This window comes from Homo sapiens, chromosome X (assembly GCF_000001405.40).
Source record: "Homo sapiens chromosome X, GRCh38.p14 Primary Assembly".
Taxonomy (NCBI): Eukaryota; Metazoa; Chordata; class Mammalia; order Primates; family Hominidae; genus Homo; species Homo sapiens.
Window position 1 is genome coordinate 135,296,181 of NC_000023.11, and position 22,395 is coordinate 135,318,575.

General features: G+C 40.6%; 2 protein-coding genes and 1 pseudogene across 7 annotated transcripts in view, besides 2 other annotated features; 2 read left to right on the top strand and 1 right to left on the bottom strand.

The window, feature by feature from the left end:
- The window catches only part of ZNF75D (zinc finger protein 75D), a 95,521-nt gene that overhangs the window by 47,592 nt on the left and 25,534 nt on the right, over positions 1-22,395 (bottom strand). The window lies entirely within an intron of this gene.
- On the top strand, positions 861-1,654 carry LOC100421043 (tigger transposable element derived 7 pseudogene; annotated as a pseudogene).
- Positions 6,102-6,730: an enhancer, noted in NCBI's record as "NANOG-H3K27ac hESC enhancer chrX:134436208-134436836 (GRCh37/hg19 assembly coordinates)". NCBI's record gives its function as "activates a minimal SCP1, AML or CMV promoter by ChIP-STARR-seq in primed H9 embryonic stem cells {active_cell/tissue: H9 hESC(primed)}" and the evidence as "EXISTENCE:reporter gene assay evidence [ECO:0000049][PMID:30033119]".
- Positions 6,731-7,358: an enhancer, noted in NCBI's record as "NANOG-H3K27ac hESC enhancer chrX:134436837-134437464 (GRCh37/hg19 assembly coordinates)". NCBI's record gives its function as "activates a minimal SCP1, AML or CMV promoter by ChIP-STARR-seq in naive H9 embryonic stem cells {active_cell/tissue: H9 hESC(naive)}" and the evidence as "EXISTENCE:reporter gene assay evidence [ECO:0000049][PMID:30033119]".
- On the top strand, positions 13,300-13,479 carry ETDC (embryonic testis differentiation homolog C). Its single transcript, NM_001358449.1, has one exon. The coding sequence runs from the start codon at positions 13,300-13,302 to the stop codon at positions 13,477-13,479; it is 180 nt and encodes a 59-aa protein (NP_001345378.1).

The window sequence follows — 22,395 nt, forward strand, 5'->3', positions numbered from 1 at the left end:
AAGAACCAGCCTCCTGCTCCAGTTAGGTCCTGGATGCAAGAAAGAGTTAATGCTACCGAGTCTCTAGCCCTGCTGGAAGCCTAGAGGAGCCCCTCAAATGGCTCTTCCCTGGGAGCCATGTAGCTTACAGACTCCTGGTGCCAAGGTCTCCTATCCCTGATTTGCCACGTATTGTGCATCCAGATTGTTCCTGCTGGCTTCCTGGCGGCTGGCAGCCCATTCTACCAGGAGCCTCACCCAGTAAGAGATGCCACCTCAAAGGTCTAGGGGCCACGGAAGAGTGGCTCACAAAGTCAGAACCAGTTCAGCACTCTTGTGGGCAGAGCTGTGTTCTGGGCCTTCCTGAGTCCCAGCCAGAGAGAGCTCCAGCTGTAGTCACTAGACTTATCAAAAGCCTCCTTGAGTAAAAGGCAATTTGATCCTGGTCAAGCCTCTCGCTAGATCAGAAACAACAGTCCCTTACATTTTCAAAACCATATTCTAGTTATCAGACATGTGCTCCCCAACCATTATCTTGTTTTATTCTTGTTAGGTAGATTTTAACCTTTTGAGATAGGTCCCATTTATACTTCTCTTTGACATATAAATAATTTGAAATGGTATGACATGACATGACTTCACCTACTACTTCATGTTCAGGGTCACATAGATTACCAGTGGCAGATTTTAGCCAGGAATTTAGGTATCCTGTTGTCATATCCTGTCCTTTTTCTACTACATTATGCTTTCCCTGGAGGACAGAAATCTTGCTTCCATCTTTATCTCCTGCAGTGCTTAGCATAGTTCTCTGGGCAAGGTATTTCATATTTACAGAATCATCTTTCTAAGAAGCTGAATATCTTGGGTTGTCAGTATTCTCCAAGTTTTCAGTATTTACCAAGTGTTGAGCCATTTGGACAAAAATTGCCAATGTGAATCTAAACAGGAGAAACTGGGTGTAGCTTAGTTTTACAATGGGGATGAAACTGACATATTTTGGAAGCCAGTGTGAAAAACCACTCAGACAAGCCAAAGAGATGTCTGCATGTCCAGGAGGAAAGTAAAAAGCACCTGTTTGATTCTATATATAAATGCAGATGACACTAAGTTAAAGTCAATCATCATTCAAAATCGAAGCTCCCCAAAGGTGTGTAAAAGGACACAGTGCATTATCTATGATATATAAACTTAGTAAAAATGTTTGGTTCATCAGAGCATCGTCTTCAGAATGGTTCTTTCAAAACTATATTCTTCAAGTCAGGCATTTTCAACATAACATTTTATAACTCAATGAAGAGGAAGTCAGGGCACTGTGACTTCTGTATAATCCCCAGGCTTACATTTCAATGAATCACTAACCAGTGAGGATGGTCAGATAAAAGTCATTTTCTTTCCCCTAAACACTTCAACCTTGATTCACCCAATAAATCAAGGTGTGATCTTGAGCTGCAAACAACTTTATAGGTGGAAGCAACTTAAAGAGAATATTGTAATTTTGAATAAGGTCATGATGAGCAAGATAAAGAAGGAAAAAGAGTTTCCAAAGTCAAACCCACAAACCAAGAATGCGTAATTTTTAAGTGAGCAAAGTTGAGATGGAGTAAAACAAACAACTATAGCAAATACCTAAGACGTCTTTACAGAAAGGAATCTGAAAATGATGAAGGCTTAACCAGTAAACATTTCTCATGGTCTGGAAACTGGAAGTCTGACATCAGGGTGCCAGCATTGTTGTTGGGTTTATGGTAAGGGTCTTCTTCCTAGTCATGTCTTCACAAGGCCTTTTCATTGTGTGTATATGCAAAGAGACAGACTGAGATCTGATGTCTTTTTTTCTTTTTTTCCATAAGGGCATTAATCCCATCATGGGGGCTCCATACTAATGACCCCATCTAAACCTGATTACCTGCCAAAGGCCCCACCTCCAAATACCATCACATTGGGGATTACAGATTCCACCTAGGAGTTTTGGGTGTACACATTCAGCCAATAGCAGCTTAGAGGAGGAAAAATGTAGATCAATTTTCGAGAAATATGGAAAACTGGAAACCAACTTAGAAAAAGATAGGATATAAATGAGAATGAAGAAAAGGGTTACCTTCCCCCTCTCAAATTTGTGATTACAAAGGAAGTTGTTCAAAAAAAGAGGAGAGACTGATGAAGAACAACAACAGATGGCTAAATTTAAATGATGTGCTGTGAGACAGAGGTTGGACAACCTCACTGATTTTTTTTTATTTTACAACTGAATTTTAAAGGTTTCATTTCATGCCGAAGGAGATGCAACAAGTATTAATCAAACAAGTAGAATCTACTCTGAACAGTTTCAGAGTAGATTCAATTCTAAAATTGGTAGCTTTCAAAATCAAGGCCTCATAATAGTGAGTTGTTAAACATGACTTTGATTTCTGGTTCTAGTAATTAGAATTTTTTAAACAGCTAAATTATGATATAATTCACAAATCACATAATTCATTCATTTAAAGTATTCTAAATATCAGTGTTTTTTAAATATACTCAAAGAGTTGTGTAACCAATGTGGCAATCAATTATAGAATATTTACCTCACCCCGCAAAAAAATATTGAACCATGCAGCTTTAACTTCTCATTTCCTGTCATCCCCCACCTCCCAATCAGCACCAACCCTAGGCAACCACTGATCTACTTTTTCTTCTCTATACATTTCCCTGTCCTGGATATTTCATATAAATGGAATCATATGATATGTGATCTTTTGTGTCTCCCTTTTTTCCTTAAGCATAATGGTTTCAAGCTTCATCCATATTGTAACATGTGTCATTACTTCATTCTTTTTTACTGCTGAATAATATACCATTGTGTGGATATATGACATTTTGTTTATCCATTCATCAGTTAATTGGTATTTGAATTTTTTCAATTTTTGACCATTATGTATAATGCTGCTATGAACATTTGTGGACAAATTTTGTGTGGACATATATTTTTATTTATTTTACATACATTTGTAGTGGTGTAATTGCTAGATCATATGTTAACTTTATGTTTAAACATTTGAGGAGCTGCCAGACTATTTTCCAAAGGGACTACACCATTTTACATTCCCCCCAGTACTGTGTGAGGGTTCTAATTTCTCTACATTCTTGCTAACACTTGTTATTACATGCCTTTTTAAATTATATCCATCTTAGTGAGTGTATCCTGACATCTCATTGTGCTTTGATTTGCATTTCCCTTATAATTAATGATATTGAGCATATTTTCATGTGCTTATTAGGCATTTGTATATTTTCTTTGGAGAAACTTTTTTCAGATCCTTTGCTCATTTTTAACTGTTATTTGTCTTTTATTATTGAGTTGTAATCATTGTTTATATATTCTAGACACAAGCCAGACATATAATTTGCACATTTTTCTTCCATTCTGTGGATTAACTTTCAACATTCTTGATGGTGTCCTCTGCTGCACAAAAGATTTTAATTTTGTAATGGCCAGTTTATCTATTTTTTCTTTAGTTTCTTATGTCACATCTGAAAAACCAGCCACCTAATCCAAGGGCACAAACATTTACACCTGTGTTTTCTTTTAGACGTTTTATAATGTTAGCCCCTAATTTATTTAGATCTTTCATCCATTTTGAGTTAATTTTTGTGTATGATCTAAGATAGAGGTACAACTTCTTTTTTTTGCATATGGATATTCAGTTGACCTAGCATAATTTGTTGAAAGACTATTCTTTCCCTATTAAATTGTTTTGGCACCCTTGGTGAAAATCAGTTAACTCAAGGTGTATGGCTTTGTTTCTGAACTTTCAATTCTATTCTATTGATCTAAATGTCTAGTCTTATGCAAATACCACACTGTCTAGATTACTGTTGCTTTGTAGTAAGTTTTGAAATTACAAAATATGAATCTTATATCTTTGTTCTCCTTTTTCAAAATTGTTTTAGACTCTGGGTCCCTTGAATTTCCATATGAATTTTAGGATAAACAGGTCAGTTTCTGCAAATAAGTCATCTAGGAATACCATATTAATGTGGTATTCGGTGTTCAATCTTCTTTTTGCAGCAGAATGTCACAGCTGAACAAAAAATGATCAAAAGTTGGCCCTTTCTTATACAAAGAAGCAGAAGAAGGAAATGAACTGAATGTTATAAAGCTTCCCCTTGTCCTTGCCCCTGCACTTTTTTCCAGGCATAAAGTGATGGGACAAAGTAGGTAGCATTCACACTTGGAAATTGACAGCTCAGGGCCAAATGGACCCTATGCAAAAGGGGAAAGTCAGAAGTGGACCTTCATTGTGTCAACTTAAAAATCACACAATTTGGCTGCGTGCGGTGGCTCATGCCTGTAATCCTAGCACTTTGGGAGGCTGAGGCTGGTGGATCATGAGTTCAGGAGATTGAGATCATCCTGGCTAACGTGGTGAAACCCCATCTCTACTAAAAATACAAAAAATTAGCTGGGTGTGGTGGCACATGCCTGTAGTCCCAGCTACTCGGGAGGCTGAGGCAGGAGTATCACTTGAACCCAGGAGGCGGAGGTTGCAGTGAGCCGAGATTGCACCACTGCACTCCAGCCTGGGCGACAGAGTGAGACTCCATCTCAAAAAAAAAAAAAAAAATCACACAATTTATCCATTTAGAAAGGAGAACTTTATTTCTTAAGTAGGGGATGACAACCTGCAGGAGAGAAGTGCAGCCTCTGGCTGCAAACAAAAAGCAAGCGCTTTGAGGGAGGGAAGGATGAGGCAGGGCTTTATGCTGAACCATATGCATGCTTGGTTGGCCAAGCATAAATATTCAACAGGCGTATTAGTCTGTTTTCACACTGCAATAAAGAAATACCTGAGACTAGGTAATTTATAAAGGAAAGAAGTTTAATTGACTCACAATTCCACATGGCTGGGGAGGCCTCAGGAAACTTACCATCATGACAGAATGTGAAGGGGAAGCAGGCACCTTATTCACAAGGTGGCAAGAGAGAAGTGAGAAAGCAGGAAAAACTGCCATTTATAAAACTGTCAGATCTCATAAGAACTCACTCACTATCACGAGAACAGCATGGGGGAAACCATCTCCATGATCCAATCGCTTCCCTCACTCAACATATGGGGATTACAGGTCCCTCCCTCGACATGTGGGGAATACAATTCAGGATGAGATTTGGGTGGGAACACAGAGCCAAACCATATCATTCCACTCCTGGCCCCTCCGAAATCTCATGTCCTCACATTTCAAAACACAATCATGCCTTCCCAATAGTCCCCCAAAGTCTTAATTCATTCCGGCATTAACTCAAAAGTCCAAGTCCAAAGTCTCACCTGAGACAAGACAAAATCAAAAGAAAATGCATTACTTCCAAGATACCATGGGGATATAGGCGTTGGATAAATGCTTCCATTCCTAATGGGAGAAATTGGCCAAAACAAAGGGACTACAGGCCCCATGCAAGACCCAAACACATTGGAGTAGTCATTAAATCTTAAAGCTCTGAAATAATCTCCTTTAACTCCATGTCTCATATCCAGGGCATGCTGATGAAAGGGGTAGTCTCCCATGGCTGGCCTTGAGTGCCTGCAGTTTTCCAGGCACACGGTACAAGCTGTTGGTGGATCTACCCTTCTGGAATCTGGAGGATGGTGGCCCTCTTCTCACAGCTCCACTAGGCAGTACCCCAGCGGGGACTCTGTATGGGGGCTCCAACCCCACATTTCCCTTCTGCACTGCCCTAGCAGAGGTTCTCCATGAGGGCTCTGCTCCTGAATTAGACTTTTGCCTGGATATCCAGGTATTTCCATACATCCTCTGAAATTTAGGTGGAGGTTCCCAAACCTCAATTCTTGACTTCTGTACACCCACAGGTCCAACACCACGTGGAAGCTGTCAAGGCTTGGGGCTTGTACCCTCTGAAGCAATGGCTCAAGCTATAACTTGGCCCATTTTACCCGTGGCTGGAGCTGGAGTGGCTGGGAGCTATGACTATTCATGAAGCGGGGATATGTGCATGTGTGGTAAGCAAACACATATGTTACATGCATCTCATGTTCACTTTGGGGCAGAGACTTAACATTTAAATACATTATATTTAGGCCCTATACATCAAAGGTGAAGCAAGGATATGAAGGCATTCAGTGTGCAGCCTTAAACTGGCCAGAATCAGTTCATGTTCAGTGGTCTCTTATCAGGAGAGAGTTATTGAAATCCATCTCTTGTCCAATAAAAGCTGTAGTTATGGCTTGTGGAACAGGTGAGTGGAGGTCAGTAAGTCAGCAAGTGAGTGAGCTGCAATTGTTTCAATATTGCTTATCTCTAGGGCAGTGCTTGTTTAGCTGCTAGAGAGAAAGAAAAGTTCTGTGGCAATTAGAACATACTTTATTCTTTAAGTGTAGCAGAGCGGGACTTAACCCTTGACTGGCATGGCCTTAGGCTTTGTTTATAATTTGGTATCTTATTACCACAAAGAGTGCATTCAATTAGCCTTGTGATCTCTATTTGAACAGTAACCGTAGTCAGTCGTGATCTAAATCACAAAAGGGAAGGAGTATAATGTGATAGTGTGGTGCAAAGTTTTGCATAGGTCAGGGATGGGCTAGCCAGTGAAGGGGTGGGTTGCCCCTCCACACCTGTGGGTGTTTCTTGTTAGGTGGAACAAGAGACTTGGAAAAGAAGAGACACAGAGACAAAGTATAGAGAAAGAAAAAAGGGGCCCAGGGGACCAGCGTTCAGCACACGGAGGATCCCGCCGGCCTCTGAGTTCCCTTAGTATTTATTCATCATTATTGGGTGTTTCTCGGGGAGGAGGATGTGGCAGGGTCATAGGATAATAGTGGAGAGAAGGTCAGCAGGTAAACACGTGAACAAAGGTCTCTGCATCATAAACAAGGTAAAGAATTAAGTGCTGTGCTTTAGATATGTATACACATAAACATCTCAATGCCTTAAAGAGCAGTATTGCTGCCCGCATGTCCCACCTCCAGCCCCAAGGCGGTTTTCCCCTATCTCAGTAGGTGGAATATACAATCGGGTTTTACACCGAGACATTCCATTGCCCAGGGACAGGCAGGAGACAGATGCCTTCCTCTTGTCTCAACTGCAAAGAGGCGTTCCCTCCTCTTTTACTAATCCTCCTCAGCACAGACCCTTCATGGGTGTCGGGCTGGGGGACGGTCAGGTCTTTCCCTTCCCACGAGGCCATATTTCAGACTATCACATGGGGAGAAACCTTGGACAATACCTGGCTTTCCTAGGCAGAGGTCCCTGCGGCCTACCACAGTGTTTTGTGTCCCTGGGTACTTGAGATTAGGGAGTGGTGATGACTCTTAAGGAGCATGCTGCCTTCAAGCATTTGTTTAACAAAGCACATCTTGCACAGCCCTTAATCCATTTAACCCTGAGTTGACACAGCACATGTTTCAGGGAGCACAGGTTTGGGGGTAAGGTTACAGATTAACAGCATCACAAGGCAGAAGAATTTTTCTTAATACAGAACAAAATGGAGTCTCCTATGTCTACTTCTTTCTACACAGACACAGTAACAATCTGATCTCTCTTTTCCCCACAAGGGATGGGCTAGCCAGCTGTGAAGCTGGAGCAGATTAATGGTTGGTCCCCAGATGCCCACCAGCAACAGTTAGGTGTGTAGACTCAGGGATATACAAGTATAGAAGTTTCCCAGGAATATACTTAAGTATAGCCTCTTTCTAAGCCCCTATAGCCTGCATTGCTGTAAACAGGCACTATGCCTGGTCTAATTCAACTCTTTTAAAGTTAATCCAGAGGACAAGCAGTTGGGCTCCTTAAACAGAACAAACAGGAGGCCCCAGTCACCTAACATAATGCTCAAAGAGAGCAGCCAGAAGTTGTAGCTTCTCAGCATTTCATCAATAATCACTGATTTGTAAGACTGGAGATAGAAGAAAAACAAACAGCAACACCAGTGGAGCTGGGCATTGCAAGTCCCATCTGAACTGTAACAAAAAGGATTCATTACTAGACTCCCAACATAAGCTTGAGAAGGCCATCTCTGGCTGCCAGTGACTATGTCAGTGCTGAAATGGAGTCACCACCCAGAACAGCATTTCCAAGAATCCCTGGGGATAGGGGCACCCACTATGGGGACAGTGTGCTGAGCGTGGGCCTGGATGGGCATAGGTGGGTGGAAGCAAGCTAACCAGCAACTCATCCTATTCCATAGAGAATATAATGATAGGAACATGAATAAAGTTCCAGCTGCTATGGGAGACCTGGAGAGGAGGAGGTTTGTATTCCACGTGCTGAGGAACCTCTCAACAAGAGGTGAGACACTGCAACTTGGGCCCCTGTAGCCTGAATGGTAAGAATAGAGTTTCTGACAAATGCAGCCAAAGATCTCCATGAAATCCCAGGGAGAGACCTGTGCCCAACACCCAGCATGGCACATCTGCAAGCAGGACACACTACAAAAATCCTGCTTTCTTTTCCCCAGGGGGAAGATTTTGATGTCTACAATGCAAATGTTCCTTCGACGGCTAACCATGCATCTCACAACTCTCTGGGACAGAGTTCCTACAACCAGTTTCCAATTAAAATTGATAATTGATAAAACATTTAAAACATGCTACCTATAGAGAGGAAATGTAGCTCCAGTTCAATGAAGATTTTCACAAATGGTGAGTATTGACTTATTTAAGGAATAGACAGTGCCAAAAAGATTCTGACACTGACTTACATATTTAGACTCTGGCCCTGCGGAGCTATGTCTCACCTTTGCATCTACAAGGTTGCTTATGGCAATTGCCATGACTCTCTGCCTTGGAGGCCTTTTGTCTCACCCTTAGAGCATGCTGGACTTGACCCAAGGCCAACTGGAGGTGACAGAGATTTATATCACCCCTGGGGGAAGTCCTTTAAGAAGTATGGTTGGTTATTTGGTGGCTAAATACCCTCAAGACTTTTCATCCTACCCTTGGGATGAATGTCAGGTGTGGGTTCGACACAGTCTCCCATAGGATCCCCCTGGGAATTAGCTCAAATTGCCCGACACAGTCTCCCATAGGATCCCCCTGGGAATTAGCTCAAATTGCCCACACTGGTAACCTGCTAGATTATTCTTGCCACTTAATTGGCTGCATTCCTTCTAAATCTCACAACACCCCTACCAGTGCTACCTGGGACTCCCTCCTACATAGGCACTTTCTACTCATAAGTGTGCCTCAGGGTCTATTTTTAGGGAACCCACATTTGAACACCTTGTATGCTAATTTACACTCACACTTGAATGTCTGGCTAGAAGTAGAATTGTAGGCTCAAAGTTATTTTGCACCAACAGCCAAAAGACGATTCTTTCTTTCCTAGGAATTTCTGGTTACCTCATTAGCTCCCTCTCTCTTTTTCTCAATTGAAGAAGTATATCTCTTGCGAGAATTCCCTCCCCACTCTGCAAGCCACTCTCATTTTAAATTTATTTGATTATAACAGCTACCCACTCCCTCCCCCAAACTTCAAGGGAGACAAACCAAGACCTCTAAGTGGGCTTTTAAAGTCACCTCCCTCTAGAAATTTAGGGCTGCAGGGCTTCTCCACGTGCCCACTCAGCCGTCCTTCCACCTTCTCTAAACAGGGCCTCTCTTGAATCCAACACCCCCAGACTCTGCAATGTTAGTAAACACTCTCTCAAAGGGGAGTAGCTAGAGTTCATCTGTTGTGGTCTCGGGTAGCAGAGACAGGTGAGAAGTTAAGAAACCATGTGAACAAAAGGCACATCCAACCAAAAGCAGTGAGAAAACAGCTTCTATTTGTAACAGTTGCATTATGGGAAGGATTTATTGATCCACACCATTTTCCTGGATTTTCTACGCTCCCTGTGGTATAGAGATGGGTCAATGGCATAGTGTTTTAACAAAGGCCAATTCCACCCTGGTATGGTTTGCGTCTGTGTCCACAGCAACTCTGTCAGATTCGCATCATTTCTGTGATTCCCAAGCTGTCTGCTGAGCAGAATGCTCAGCATGGATTTAGAGGCCAGACTGGGTCTTAAGTATTTGTTTGCCTTCCTCCTGGTGCTCTGTGCAGATGCGCTGGGACTGACTTCAGAGTGTCCCTGAGCCATGACTGCTTGACTCCACAGATCCACAGATGGCTTCAGGAAGACAGGACAACAGAGATACATACACACACACACACACACACACACACACACACACACACACACACACACGGGATTATAAAAAGCTTTGTGACAATTTGTGATTTTAAATGTCAGCTATATCATTTCTTTGAGTCCCACATATGCATAAATGTATTTCTAGAATATCTTTGTTGGCCCATGAACATGTCTATCAATTCCTGTTTCATTTGCTAATACTACAGACTAAGTTTTGAGTCCAGAATGACAAGCTCCCCCTCTTACATAATCCTTCGCATTTTTTCCAGTATAATTGCATCTGTTCTTCCAGTTACACATACACTCAAAATTGTGCTATAAATTATGATTGGGATTGCACTGGATTTACTGATTTATTTAGAGGAGAATTGATGCCATTGCAAAAATTGATCTTCCTTTTCAAAAAATGTAGTATTTTAAAATGTTATGTGAATATTCAAACTGGAAGCTCATAAAAAGTTGCATGTGTGTTTTCCTTGTGTTTGTCCTCATCTTTCTAGGTGTTTCATAACATTTGCAACCAATGTAAATAGGACATTTTATTTCTATGATATTCCCTATTTAAGGAAGACTATGCAGATTTTTAATTTATGTATTCATTTATTTTTATTTTAGAGATGGGGTCTCCGTATGTTACCCAGACTGGTCTTGAACTCCTGGGCTCAAGCGATCCACCCACCTCAGCCTTCCAGAGGCTATAATCCAGCTGGGATTATAGGTGTGAGCCACTGTGCCTGGCCTAGTATGAAAAGCTTTTATGCATTTAACATCTATCAATCAACCTCTCCTGGCCTATTTCCTAGGTGATTGCCATGGTTTTCTAGGATGTCAGTTCCTTAAGAGAAAGAGTTTTCCACTTTCTTTGTTAATAAAATACTGAATACCAATAAGTTCTCTTCCCACTGCAAATTGTTTAGAACACTGAACACAGCCTCAGGGTCTTTACATGGTTCTGTGGGGGCTAGGAAAAAACCTGAAGGACTGAGCCTTCCTTCCCTGCCACTCAAGAAAGGGAGTGTGTGACCTGGGTCGCTTTACAGGAACCTCAATTTCCTCAGTTCTTACATAAGATTGAGTGGGCAGCCAGTGTGCAGGCAAGCCACATCTCCTCATAACAGTCATTTTAGTTCCTCATGAGAACCCCACTATAAAAATCACAAAGCCCTGTCCTCACCGTTATCCCTCTGACAGCCTGGAAAATCCATGTCCTGCATATAGACACTACCCACCTGCGTCACACTTTAATGGTAACAATGTAGTTATTCTAGATCAGATACTTGAAAGGGAATATGGCTTGAGACATATGCATATGTCTCAACAAACTAGTCTAGTTTTAGCATAAGATTTTCCAAGGCATTAAAAGCCCACCTGCATCCCAGGTCCACAGAATAAAAGTGTGGAGTTCCACTGCTCTGAGCTTTGGGAGGGGGTCACACAGTTGTGTGAGACACAGCAGTGTTTAACTGCAGTGTTAAATTTCTGCAACTAAACACTCCATTTACATGAACTGTGTATTATAGAGGGAGTAATTGCAGAGTCATGACCAAAACTGGATGCAGAGATTGACAAGCAAATGGGAAATTCAACCTAACACTAATTCCCTGATTGGAACATGGCAGACAAAGTCGCTGATCACTACCCAGGGAACCTGGCAAGATGCAGTGGGTGCTGTAATCTACACAAAGGATAAATTTTAATGAAGGGATTTTGCACAAGCCAGGGACAAGCTCTGAGGCCAGGATAGCTGAATGTCCCATCCAGGAAGGAGACATGTAGATGGCACCCAGCCACAAGATATACCTACTTCCTCTCCCAGCAACTTCCACTTACCCTATTCTGCTCTGAACCAGAAGGAAGCCAGGTGATGGTTGTCAGTATTTGAATCTTGCAGACTGTTGGCATTACGTTCTGAGAGCAGTCGTGAGTAATCATAGTAACCGTGACTTCACTTGGTTCTGAACCAATCAGGCCCTGGGACTCAGGGAAAAAGAGAGAGTGTGCTAAGGAAAGAAGTCATGTTTCCTCTCACTGTTTACTCTCTGGTCCAGGTCTTTCTTCAAAAGAAACCTGAGTGGTCTGACAGGTAAAATATTCTGATATACCAAGATCATAGAGCATCCTTTTGTGCCATAACCTAACTAATCTACCTGATAAACCTCAACCCTGTTTGGTAATGGGGGGGAAGGTATGGGAGAGTCATTTGTTCAAACTGATACAGAGAAACTATAGAGCAGTGGGTAAAAACACAGGCTTCAGATACAGGCTTTTTTCAGTTCCAATCTCACCTTTCTATCACTTGGGCAAGTCCTTTAATCTCTCTTGAGGTCAAAATAGAGAACACAGTTGGCATCCACCCCTAGCCTTGGCATTATGCCAGATTCAAGTATAATACCACTCAGCACTTTTTGGGGTGAGACTGGGTCAGTTATCAGAGGCGAGTACAATCTTTAAATAACTGAGATTATGTTCCCAGGATGGAAACTCAGAAGGATGGGCCTTAGAAACAGAAACTAGGTAGCACCTGAGAATGTCCAGTTTATTTCTTACACAAGGGTTTGGAGTAAGATCCATACCTGCGTCACCAGTGATTTTCAAAGAAGGCAAATCCTATTTGAAGCTAAAGTAACATAAAGAGATTTGGAATGAGGAAACAAATTATAGCAGCCTGTAGGTTGTAGAATGAAGAAATACAGATGTAAAATAATGAATTTTGTTATGGATAGATTTACCAAAGAGACCTACTCTCTCAACTTGCTGCACAAAATGCAGTAGAAGAAAGCCCCTATCCCAAGTACAGGGAAAACTCAGAGGTGAAAAGAAGGCAGCTCTGCAAAACAGCAACATAGAATTGAGTTAAAATTAATGCGAATGTAAGAATTACGTCGACACTTGAGCTATAAGCTAGCACTTTGAGTACAATCTAACAGGTCTGTGTGTGTCAGGTGATGATCAGATTGATACAACAGTGTGTCCTTAATGTCCCGGGTCCCATCAGGCTCCTACACAGCCCCATGTGTGAGACAGATTGAATAAATGATATGGTTGGCATTTCAAATCAGATGATGGCCCAAAGTGTGTGTGGGTGTGTGGCAGTGGGGAAGAGGTCCCCAGATCCACTTGATTACATGGAATTCATCATCTTTTTCAGGCTTCCTTGGTTGTGCTGTTTTACTGAGGTTGTTTGGGGCTGCTGCTTCATGGATAAAGAACTCCCTAAAGCCAGTCCCAGTGAGCCTGCACTGAACATCAAGAAGTCAGGCAAATCCTTCAAATGCAAGAAGCCCACCAAAAATGTGCAGGTCTTTTTAATCAACAGACAACTGGGCAGGAACAGAAGTGACACTGACCTGTCAAAGTGGCTATGGATGCTGCCATAAAGCAACTCCAGGGTGAACATGGCCTTGGACAAAAAGTCATGTGGCTTATGTGCTGAGGCCTGCCCAGAATTTTGAGACATTAATTATAATTAGAACAATAAACTCCTCCCATGTTTGAGCCATTAAAACAGAGTCTGTCATTTCACTCCTTTGGGTTGGATGTGTGTTTGCTGACAGGGCTTACTTGGGTTACACTGGAAGGGGCTTTTGTTCATCCTAACGCACAGTGCAGGGGTGCTCAGACACAGAGCAGAGAGTGAGATCATGCTGCACACCAGATCTCCCCCATCAATCTGAAAAACACTGCGAAGTCGAAGTGATGTAGTACTTGGCATTCAAGGACCAAAGACTCTAATCCCTAGCCATTTTGAAGAGACCACCCTGGTGTTTCTCTCTAAAACCTAATGCCTGTCCTAATGAAAAGACATCGTTTAAGAGCAGACCAACAGCTGGGCCGGGGGTTTGGGACATGTTTCATCATTGCAGATGTCATGTCCACAGAGCCTTCCAGGGGCAACTGCTCTATTCAGTGTCCCCAGGAAAGTGGAATGCCCTGATGGCTTTTTTGTGTCATGTCAAACAAACCTTCAGGCCACAGCCAATCAAAGATAATTAATTTTCCTGAAGTGAAGCCACCCAATAGTCCAACAAGACATATGAGATGGTTCCCATTGAAAAACCTCTGTCCCTAAGAAATATCCTGAGCAAGTCAGATACTCCAAGAAACCTGAAATGGGAACTATGTGCACAATTGGTGACTGAGAAGTGAGAGCTAAAGCTGAAGAGGGGACAGGGAGAGCAAAGAGGTCAGAGCCATGGTGGATATGGGCAAGCTTAAGTTAGGAATAAGATGAAATTAACATAAAAGGAACCATTAAAACCATAACAAATTCCAAGCATTTCTCTTGTCCTTTAACGTAAGCTGCAAAATAAGCCTGCAAGCAGTCCTTCTGTCCCCTCCACCTCTCCTTCCCAATTCCCTGTGCTCTCACAACCTGTCCAGCATTTCCCAAGTCCCCTTCCTGTGTCCCCTCCCCCACCTACATCTAAGGGGCTGTTATTCTCTCTACCCTTAGCCAGGTCTCTTCTGGATCTGTATTAGATAGAAAATTTAACTCCTCTATGTCCATTTAACTCTCCTCCCTGTCCCTGTCAACTTTGCTTTCCCTGCTCTGATTCAGCATTGCCAAAATAGAACCACAAGCCTCTCCTCAGAGGATGCAACTGACTGTAGGTTGGAAGGGGAGGGTTTAGAGGACATCCAGGTAGAGGGGCCTCTTGGGTGCACTCTTGGTGGGAAAGCTGCCTGGATACTCCTCTGTTGGTTACTATTTTGCTGCAGTTCAGGATCAAACAGTGGCTGTACCAGCTGGTAGAGAATCAGTCTTTTTGGTTGAATACCAGGGGATATGCAGCTGATCTGGCTGATAGGGGATGTAGCTGGGTGAGCTTTTCCCACTTGGTAGGGAGCATATCTGATGAGAGCAGGGAAAATCGTGGCTAGGCCTTTGATGCCCTGTGAGGCTCAATTATGCCAAGGCAGCACATGGAATTTCAGGCCTTGTAACACATGGCAGTAGACAAAATCGCTGAGAAGAGTGAATGAACTGAGAAGTGAGCCAGCAAAGCATGGTGAAGAAGGCTGAGACTCTGAGGGTGCAATCAGCAGCTGACAGCTGTAAGGCAGTCAGGAAGGAGAGCTGGGTGTAGACTCTAACCCACAGTGGGAAATGGCCTGATCTTTTAAATTAATTCATTTTTCATTGATAAATAAAAATTGTGTCATGTCCAACATCATGCTTTGAAATGTGTATACATTGTGAAATGGCTAAATTAAGCTAATTATATGCTTATCATTACATTATATGCTTATCATTTTTTTGTGTATGGTGAGAACACTTAAAATCTACTCTTTTATCAGTTTTCAAGAATACAATACAGTTAGTTACTAGCTGTAGTTAACATGTTTAACAACAGATCTGTTGAACTTGTTTCTCCTTTCTAACTGAAATTTTGTATTCTTTGACCAACATCTCCCCTCACTGTTCCAGGCCCTGGCAGCCACCATTATCTTCTCTGCTTCTATGGGTTCAACTTTTTAGACTCCACATAGAAGGGAGATCATGAAGTATTTGCCTTTTCTGTGCCTGGCTCATTTCACTTAGCAAAATGTCCCCTAGGTCCATTCAGGACATGGCTTGATTTTTTATTGATAATTTTGTACCTGTTTATGGGATACATGTGTTATTTTGTTACAAGCATGGACTATGTAATGATCAAGTAAGGGTATTTGGGGTGTCCATCTCTTCAAGTATTTATCATTTCTATCTGTTGGGAACATACCAAGTTCTCTCTCCCAGCTATTTTGGAATCCATAGTACATTTGATGTTAACTATAGTCGCCTTACTTTGTTATCAAACATTAGAACTTATCCCTTCCATCTACCTGTATGTTTGTACCCATTAACCAACTTCTCTTTATACTTCCTACCAACACACCCTTCCCAGACTCTGGTATCTATTATTCCATTCTCTCCCTCTATGAGATCAACGTTTTTAGCTATCATACATGAGTGAGAACATGAAATAATTGCCTTTCTGTACCTGGCTCATTTCACTTAACATAATCACCTCCAATTCCATCCATGTTGCTGCAACATGGATTGCGGAATTTTTTATGGCCAAATAGTATTCCATGGGTGTATATACACTACATTTTCTTTTTCCACTCATCCACTGATGGACACCTAGATTGATTCCATATCTTTGCTATTGTAAATAGTGCTGTGATAAACATGCGAGTGCAGGTATCCCTTTGACATACAGATTTCTTTTCCTTTGGATAGACACTCAGTAGTGGGATTGCCAGATCATATAGTAGATATATTTTTAGTTTTTTTGAGAAATCTTTATACTGTTTTTCATTGTGTTTGTACTAATTTCCATTCCCAAAAAAGTGTATGAGTTCTCTTTTCTCCACATCCTTGCCAGCATCTGTGACTTTTTTTTTTTTTTGTCTTTTAATAGTAGCCATTCAAACTGGGGTAAGATGGTATCTCATCGTGGTTTTGATTTGCATTTCCCTGATATTTAGTGATGTTGAGTACTTTTTTCGTATACCTGTTGGCCATTTGTATGTCTTCTTTTGAGAATTGTCCATTTATGGCATTTGCCCACTTTTTAATGGGATTATTTGTTTTATTATTCTTGACTTGAGTTTCTGGTATATTCTGAATATTAATCCCTTATCAGATGAATAGTTTGCACACATTTTTACCCATTCAGCAGGTTATCTCTCCACTCAATGGATTGTTTCCTTTGCTATGCAGATTTTTAGTTTGATATAGTCCTTTTTGTCTCTTTTTGCTTTAGTTGTCTGTGCTTTTGAAGCCTTAGCCATAAAATCTTCACTTATGCCAATGTCCTGAAGATTTTTCCCTATGTTTTCTTCTACTAGTTTAATAGTTTTGGGTCTTAAGTCTTTAATCCATCTTGAGTTGATTTTTGTATATGGTTAGAGGTAGGGGTCTAATTTCCTTACTGCACATATGGATATCCAACTTTCCCAGCACCATTTATTAAAGAGGGTGTCATTTCCTCAGTGCATGTTGTTGGTGCCTTTGTTGAAAATCAGTGGGCTGTAAATATATGAATTTATCTCAGAGTTCTCTATACATTGGTCTAAGTGGCTATTTTTATACTAATTCTATATTGTATTTGTTACCATAGACTTGTAATGTATTTTGAAGTCCAGTAGTGTGTTGCTTCCAGCTTTATTCTTTGTGTTTAGGTTTGCTTTGGCTATTCTGGCTTTTTTTGTTGTTGTTGTTCCATATGAATTTTAGGATAATTTTTTCTATTTCTGTGAAAAAAATGGCATTAGCGTTTTGAATCAGTAGATTGCTTTGGGCAATATGGTTATTTTAACAATACAAATTCTTCTGATCCATGAGCATGGAATGTCTTTCCATTTGTTTGTGTCCTCTTCAATTTCCTTCATCAGTGTTTTGTAGTGCTTTGTAGTTTTCCTTGCAGAAATCTTTCATCTCCCTGGTTAAATTTATTCCTAGGTATTTTATATTTTTGTAGCTAATGGAAGTGGTATTGTCTTCTTGCTTTCTTTTTCAGCTATTTCATTATTGGAGTACAGAAACAGTACTGATTTTCATATGTTGATTTTGTATCCTGCAACTTTATCACATTTGTTTATCAGCTCTAAGAGTTTATTGGTGGAGTCTTTTAATTTTTCTAAATATAAGATCATGTCACCTGCAAAGAGGAACAGTTTGGCTTCCTCTTTTCAAATTTGGGTGTGTTTTATTTCTTTCTCTTGCATGATTGCTCTGGCTTGGACTTCCAGTGCTGTGTTGAATACGAGTCATGAAAATGGGCATCCTTAACTTGTTCCAGTTCTTAGAGGAAAGGCTTCCAACTTTTCCCCATGAAGTATGATCTTACCTGTGGTTTTGTCATATATAGCGTTTATTGTTTTGAGATATGCTCCCTCCATGCACAGTTTGTTGTGAGTTTTTATCGTAAAGGGATGTTGAGTCTTATCAAATGTTTTTTTCTGCATCTATCAAGATGATAATATAGTTATTGTTCTCCATTCTGTTCATATGATGTATCACATTTATTGATTTGTATATGTTAAACCATCCTTACATTTCCTGTTATAACTCCCACTTGATCATGGTGTATTATCTTTTTTGATGTGCTGTTGAATTCAGTTTGCTAGTATTTTGTTGAGGATATTTGTGTCTATGCTCATCAGGGATATTAGCTTATAGTTTTCTTTTTTACTATGCCCTTGTCTGGTTTGGGTATCAGGGTAATTCTGGCCTTGTAGAATGAGTTAGGGAGAATTCCCTTCTCTTAATAGTTTGAGAAGGATTGGTATTGCTTCTTTACGTATTTGGTAGAATTCAGCAATGAACCTATCCAACCCCAGACTTTTCTTTGTTGGGAGATTTTTTACTAGTGATTTAATGTTACTACTTGTTATTGGTCTGTTCAGGCTTTCTCTCTTCCTGATTCAAGCTGGGCAGGTTGTATGTTTCCAGGAATTTACCAATTCCCTCTAGGTTTTCCCGTTTATGAGCATATAGGTGTTCATAATACTATGATGATCTTTTGTATTTCTGTGGTATCAATTGTAATGCCTCCTTTTTCATTTCTGATTTTATTTATTTGGGTCTTCTCTCTTCTTGATTATTCTAGCTAGTGGTTTATCAATTTTGTTTATCAACCAACTTTTCATTTAATTGGTCTTTTCTATTGTTTCTAGTCTCCACTTAATTCTGCTCTGATAGTTTAAGTTTCTTTACTTCTAATTTTGGGTCTGTTCTTAATTTGATAGTTCCTTGAGGTGCATTGTTTGATAATTTGAAATCTATTTTTTCAATGTAGCCTTTATTGTTATAAATTTCTCTCTTACCACTGCTTTTGTTGTATTCCACAGGTGTTGTTATGCTTTATTTTATTTTCATTTGTTTCAAAAAATGTTTTGATTTCCATCTTAATTTCTTCATTGAGCCAGTGGTTGTTCAGGAGCATGTTCTTTAATTTCCATGAATTTGTATTGTTTCCAAAGTTCCTCTTAATATTGATTTCTAGTTTTATTCCATTGTGGTCTGAGAAGTTACTTGGTATGATTCCAATTTTTATAATTTGTTGAGCCTTTTTTTGGTCGTGGCCTAACATATACTCTATCCTGGAGAATGTTCCATGTGCTGATGAAAAGAATGTGCATTCTGCAGTAGTTGGATGAAATGTTCTATAAACGTCTGTTAGGTCCATTTGGCTTAAAGTTGAGTTTAAATCCAATGTCACTTCTTCTTTGTCTAGATGACCTGTCTAACGCTGAGAGTGGGTGTTGAAGTCCTCCATAATTACTGTATTAGAGTCTAAATCTTTAGATCTAGTAATATTTGCTTTATGAATCTGGGTGCTCCAGTGTTGGTTGCATATATATTTAGAATTGGTATTTCTTCTTGCTGGTTTGATCCCTTTATCATTATATAATGACTTTCTTTGTCTTTACTATTTTTGGCTTAAAGTATCTTTCATCTGACATAAGCATAGCTACTCCTGCTGGCTTTTGGTTTCCATTAGTGTGGAATATACTTTTCCACCCCTTTACTTTCAGTCATACATGTCTATATGTAAAGTGCATTTATCATAGGCAGCACGTAGTTAGATCATGTTTTTTTTACCCTTTTACCCAGTCCATATTTTTAAGTGGAGAAATTAATCCTTTTATATTCAAGGTTACCATTAATATGTGAGGTTTTGTTCTGTCATGTTATTCATTGTTTTCTGGTTATTTTGTATAATCTCTGTTCCTTTTTTTCCCTTATCGTTTGTCACTGTGGTTTGGAAATTACCTGTAGTGGTATCAGTTGAGCACTTTTTCTTTCTCATCTGTATGTTTGCATTACCATTCAGCTTAATACTTAACATTTTGTTTTCATGGTGGTAAATGTTGTCCTTTTGCTTCTAGGTTTATGACTCCCTTGAGCATTTCTTGTAGGGGCAGTCTAGTGATGATGAATTCCCCCAGCTTTTGCTCATCTGGGAAAGACTTTATTTCTCCTCCATTTATGAAATATAATTTTGCCAAAAATGGTATCCTTGGCTAGCAGATTTTTTTTCCTTTTAGCACGTTGAATATATGATTTCATTCTCTCTGGCCTATAATATATCTGTGGGGAAATCTGCTGTTAGTCTCATAAGGGTTCCTTTATAGGTAACTAGATGCTTTTTTAGAATTATTTGTCATTGACTTTAGACATTGTAAATATAATGTACCATGGGGAAGATCTTTTTGCATTGTATGTTTGAGGATCCCTGGGCTTCCTGTATGTGAATGTCCAAACCTCTTGGTAGACCTGGAAATTTTTCATCTATTATTTCATTAAATAGGTTTTCAAAATCTTTTGTTCTCTCTTTGCCTTTTGGGACACCAATAATTTGTATATTTGGTTACTTTATGGTGTCCCATATATCACAAAGGCTTTGTTCATTCTTTTTTATTTTTGTCCAGGTTATTTCTAAAAACCTTTCTTCAAGATCTTAGATTCTTTCTTCTGCTTGATCTAGTCTATTGTTGGAGTTTTTCAAGTGCATTTTGCAGTTCAATGTAGTCTTCAGTTCCAGAATTTTTTTTAATGATAGATATTTCTTTCTCATTCATGTCCTAAATTGTTTTCCTGATTTCTTTTTATCATTTTTTAGAATTTTCTTCTATCTCACTGAACTTCTTTAGAATTGATAATTTGAATTATTTTTCCAGGATTTAATGAATTTCTTTTTGATTGAAATCTGGTTTTGGATAATTATTTTGTTCCTTTTGGAGGTGTCATGTTTCCTTGCTTTTTCGTGTTTCCTGCGTCCTTACATTGATACTTGCCTATCTGGTGTATCAGTCACTTCTTTCAATTTTTTGAATTTGCTTTGTTAGAGGAGGGCTTTTTCCTGAAGATCTATCTATAGTATTGGTTGAGTAGGGCACTTTGGCTGTTATTCTGGGTGCATGAAGTAGTGTAGTCTCTGTATGATTTCTTTGGCTATAAACAGTGTCAGTGGTATCTAAGGTTTCCTTGCTGGCTTATGGTGAAGTTATTGGTGGAGGCTGTGAAACAGTTTTGCGGGGGACTGGTACACCAAGTATGCCAGTCTTTGGACCCCACTGGTGGCAGCAGTGGGCTAAGCATGCCTGTCCTTGGGTCCCAGGGTGGCGTACACTGGCACCATTGTTAGCAGGTCCAGGCATGCCAATGCTTGGGCCTCCAGGTAGCTTACTTGGATGCCAGTAGAGGCATATATGGATCAGGCAAGTGAGTGGGTTCTCAGGATCCTGGGCAGTCAGTGTGGTGAGGGTGATGGCAGTGGTGGTGGTGGGATGATGCTCTGCTTCCCAAGTGGTTCATGCTGGTACGGGCAGTGGTGGCTGTAGTGGCCTGGAAACTGGCCCACAGGTAGGTGTCACCTGTGGTAGAGGCAGCTGGGTGGGTAAGAACAACCTCAGGCCCCTGGGAGGAGTATTCAGGTGCCAATGTTAGTGGACTGGGCTTGGTAATCCCCTGGCTCCTGGACTATGTGCTCTGTCTGAAGGTAGGATGAGGAGGGACAAAGCTTGGCCAGGATGGCTTGTCCTTGGGCCTCTTGATGATATGTACAGGTGCTGCCTATGAGAGGCAGGGGAAGAGCAATCATCAGACCACTGGCAGGATGCTTGGGTGGGCAGTAACAGCATAGCTGCTACTGGGTGCAGTGTCACCTTCAGTGACAGCAGCCTAAGTCGGTAGGTGGGGAGTGCACACACCACTCACACCTCAGCACTCACCTTAGCCCTGGGTGTGGTAGCCTATGCTCACTTGTGTCTAAGAGCCAAGGTGAGCAATGGCTTGATATATATATATATATATTTTTTTTTTTTTTTTGCGTATTGACAATGCAAGGGAATTTAGATCGTCCTGGCACTGGTTCTATCACTACTCTAGCTCTTGCACCTTTGTGATCTCTGCTTGCCATTTGCCTCTTTGCTCTCAGATGCATATCCTGCCATAGTGGTTGGAGATTAACTAATGCCTCTGGGATTTTACACAGGTGAAGGTGTTCAGAAGAGGTTCTGCAGAACTTGCCTGGTCACACAAAATGCACTACTGACCACATTTACCAACTTTCCTCTTCCAGCTCCAACTTTCTTTCTTTTCCTTTCTCTACTAAGCCTGACACAACTAGGTTAAAGAGTGTTTCTACATAATGTCTAAAAATGTTGATTCTGAGAAACAGTAGGACAATTTGGCAAAGTAAGAACAAGTTTGGTGTATTTCATTTCGGAACTTAGATGACCAAAATCCATTAAAAAATTAAAACTTTAATAATTATTAAAACGGTTTGCAGCTTTGTGAC

What these genes read in the sequence shown, in the direction of transcription:
- ETDC (NM_001358449.1), top strand. Translation starts at nt 13,300, where the DNA reads ATGGATAAAGAACTCCCTAAAGCCAGTCCCAGTGAGCCTGCACTGAAC.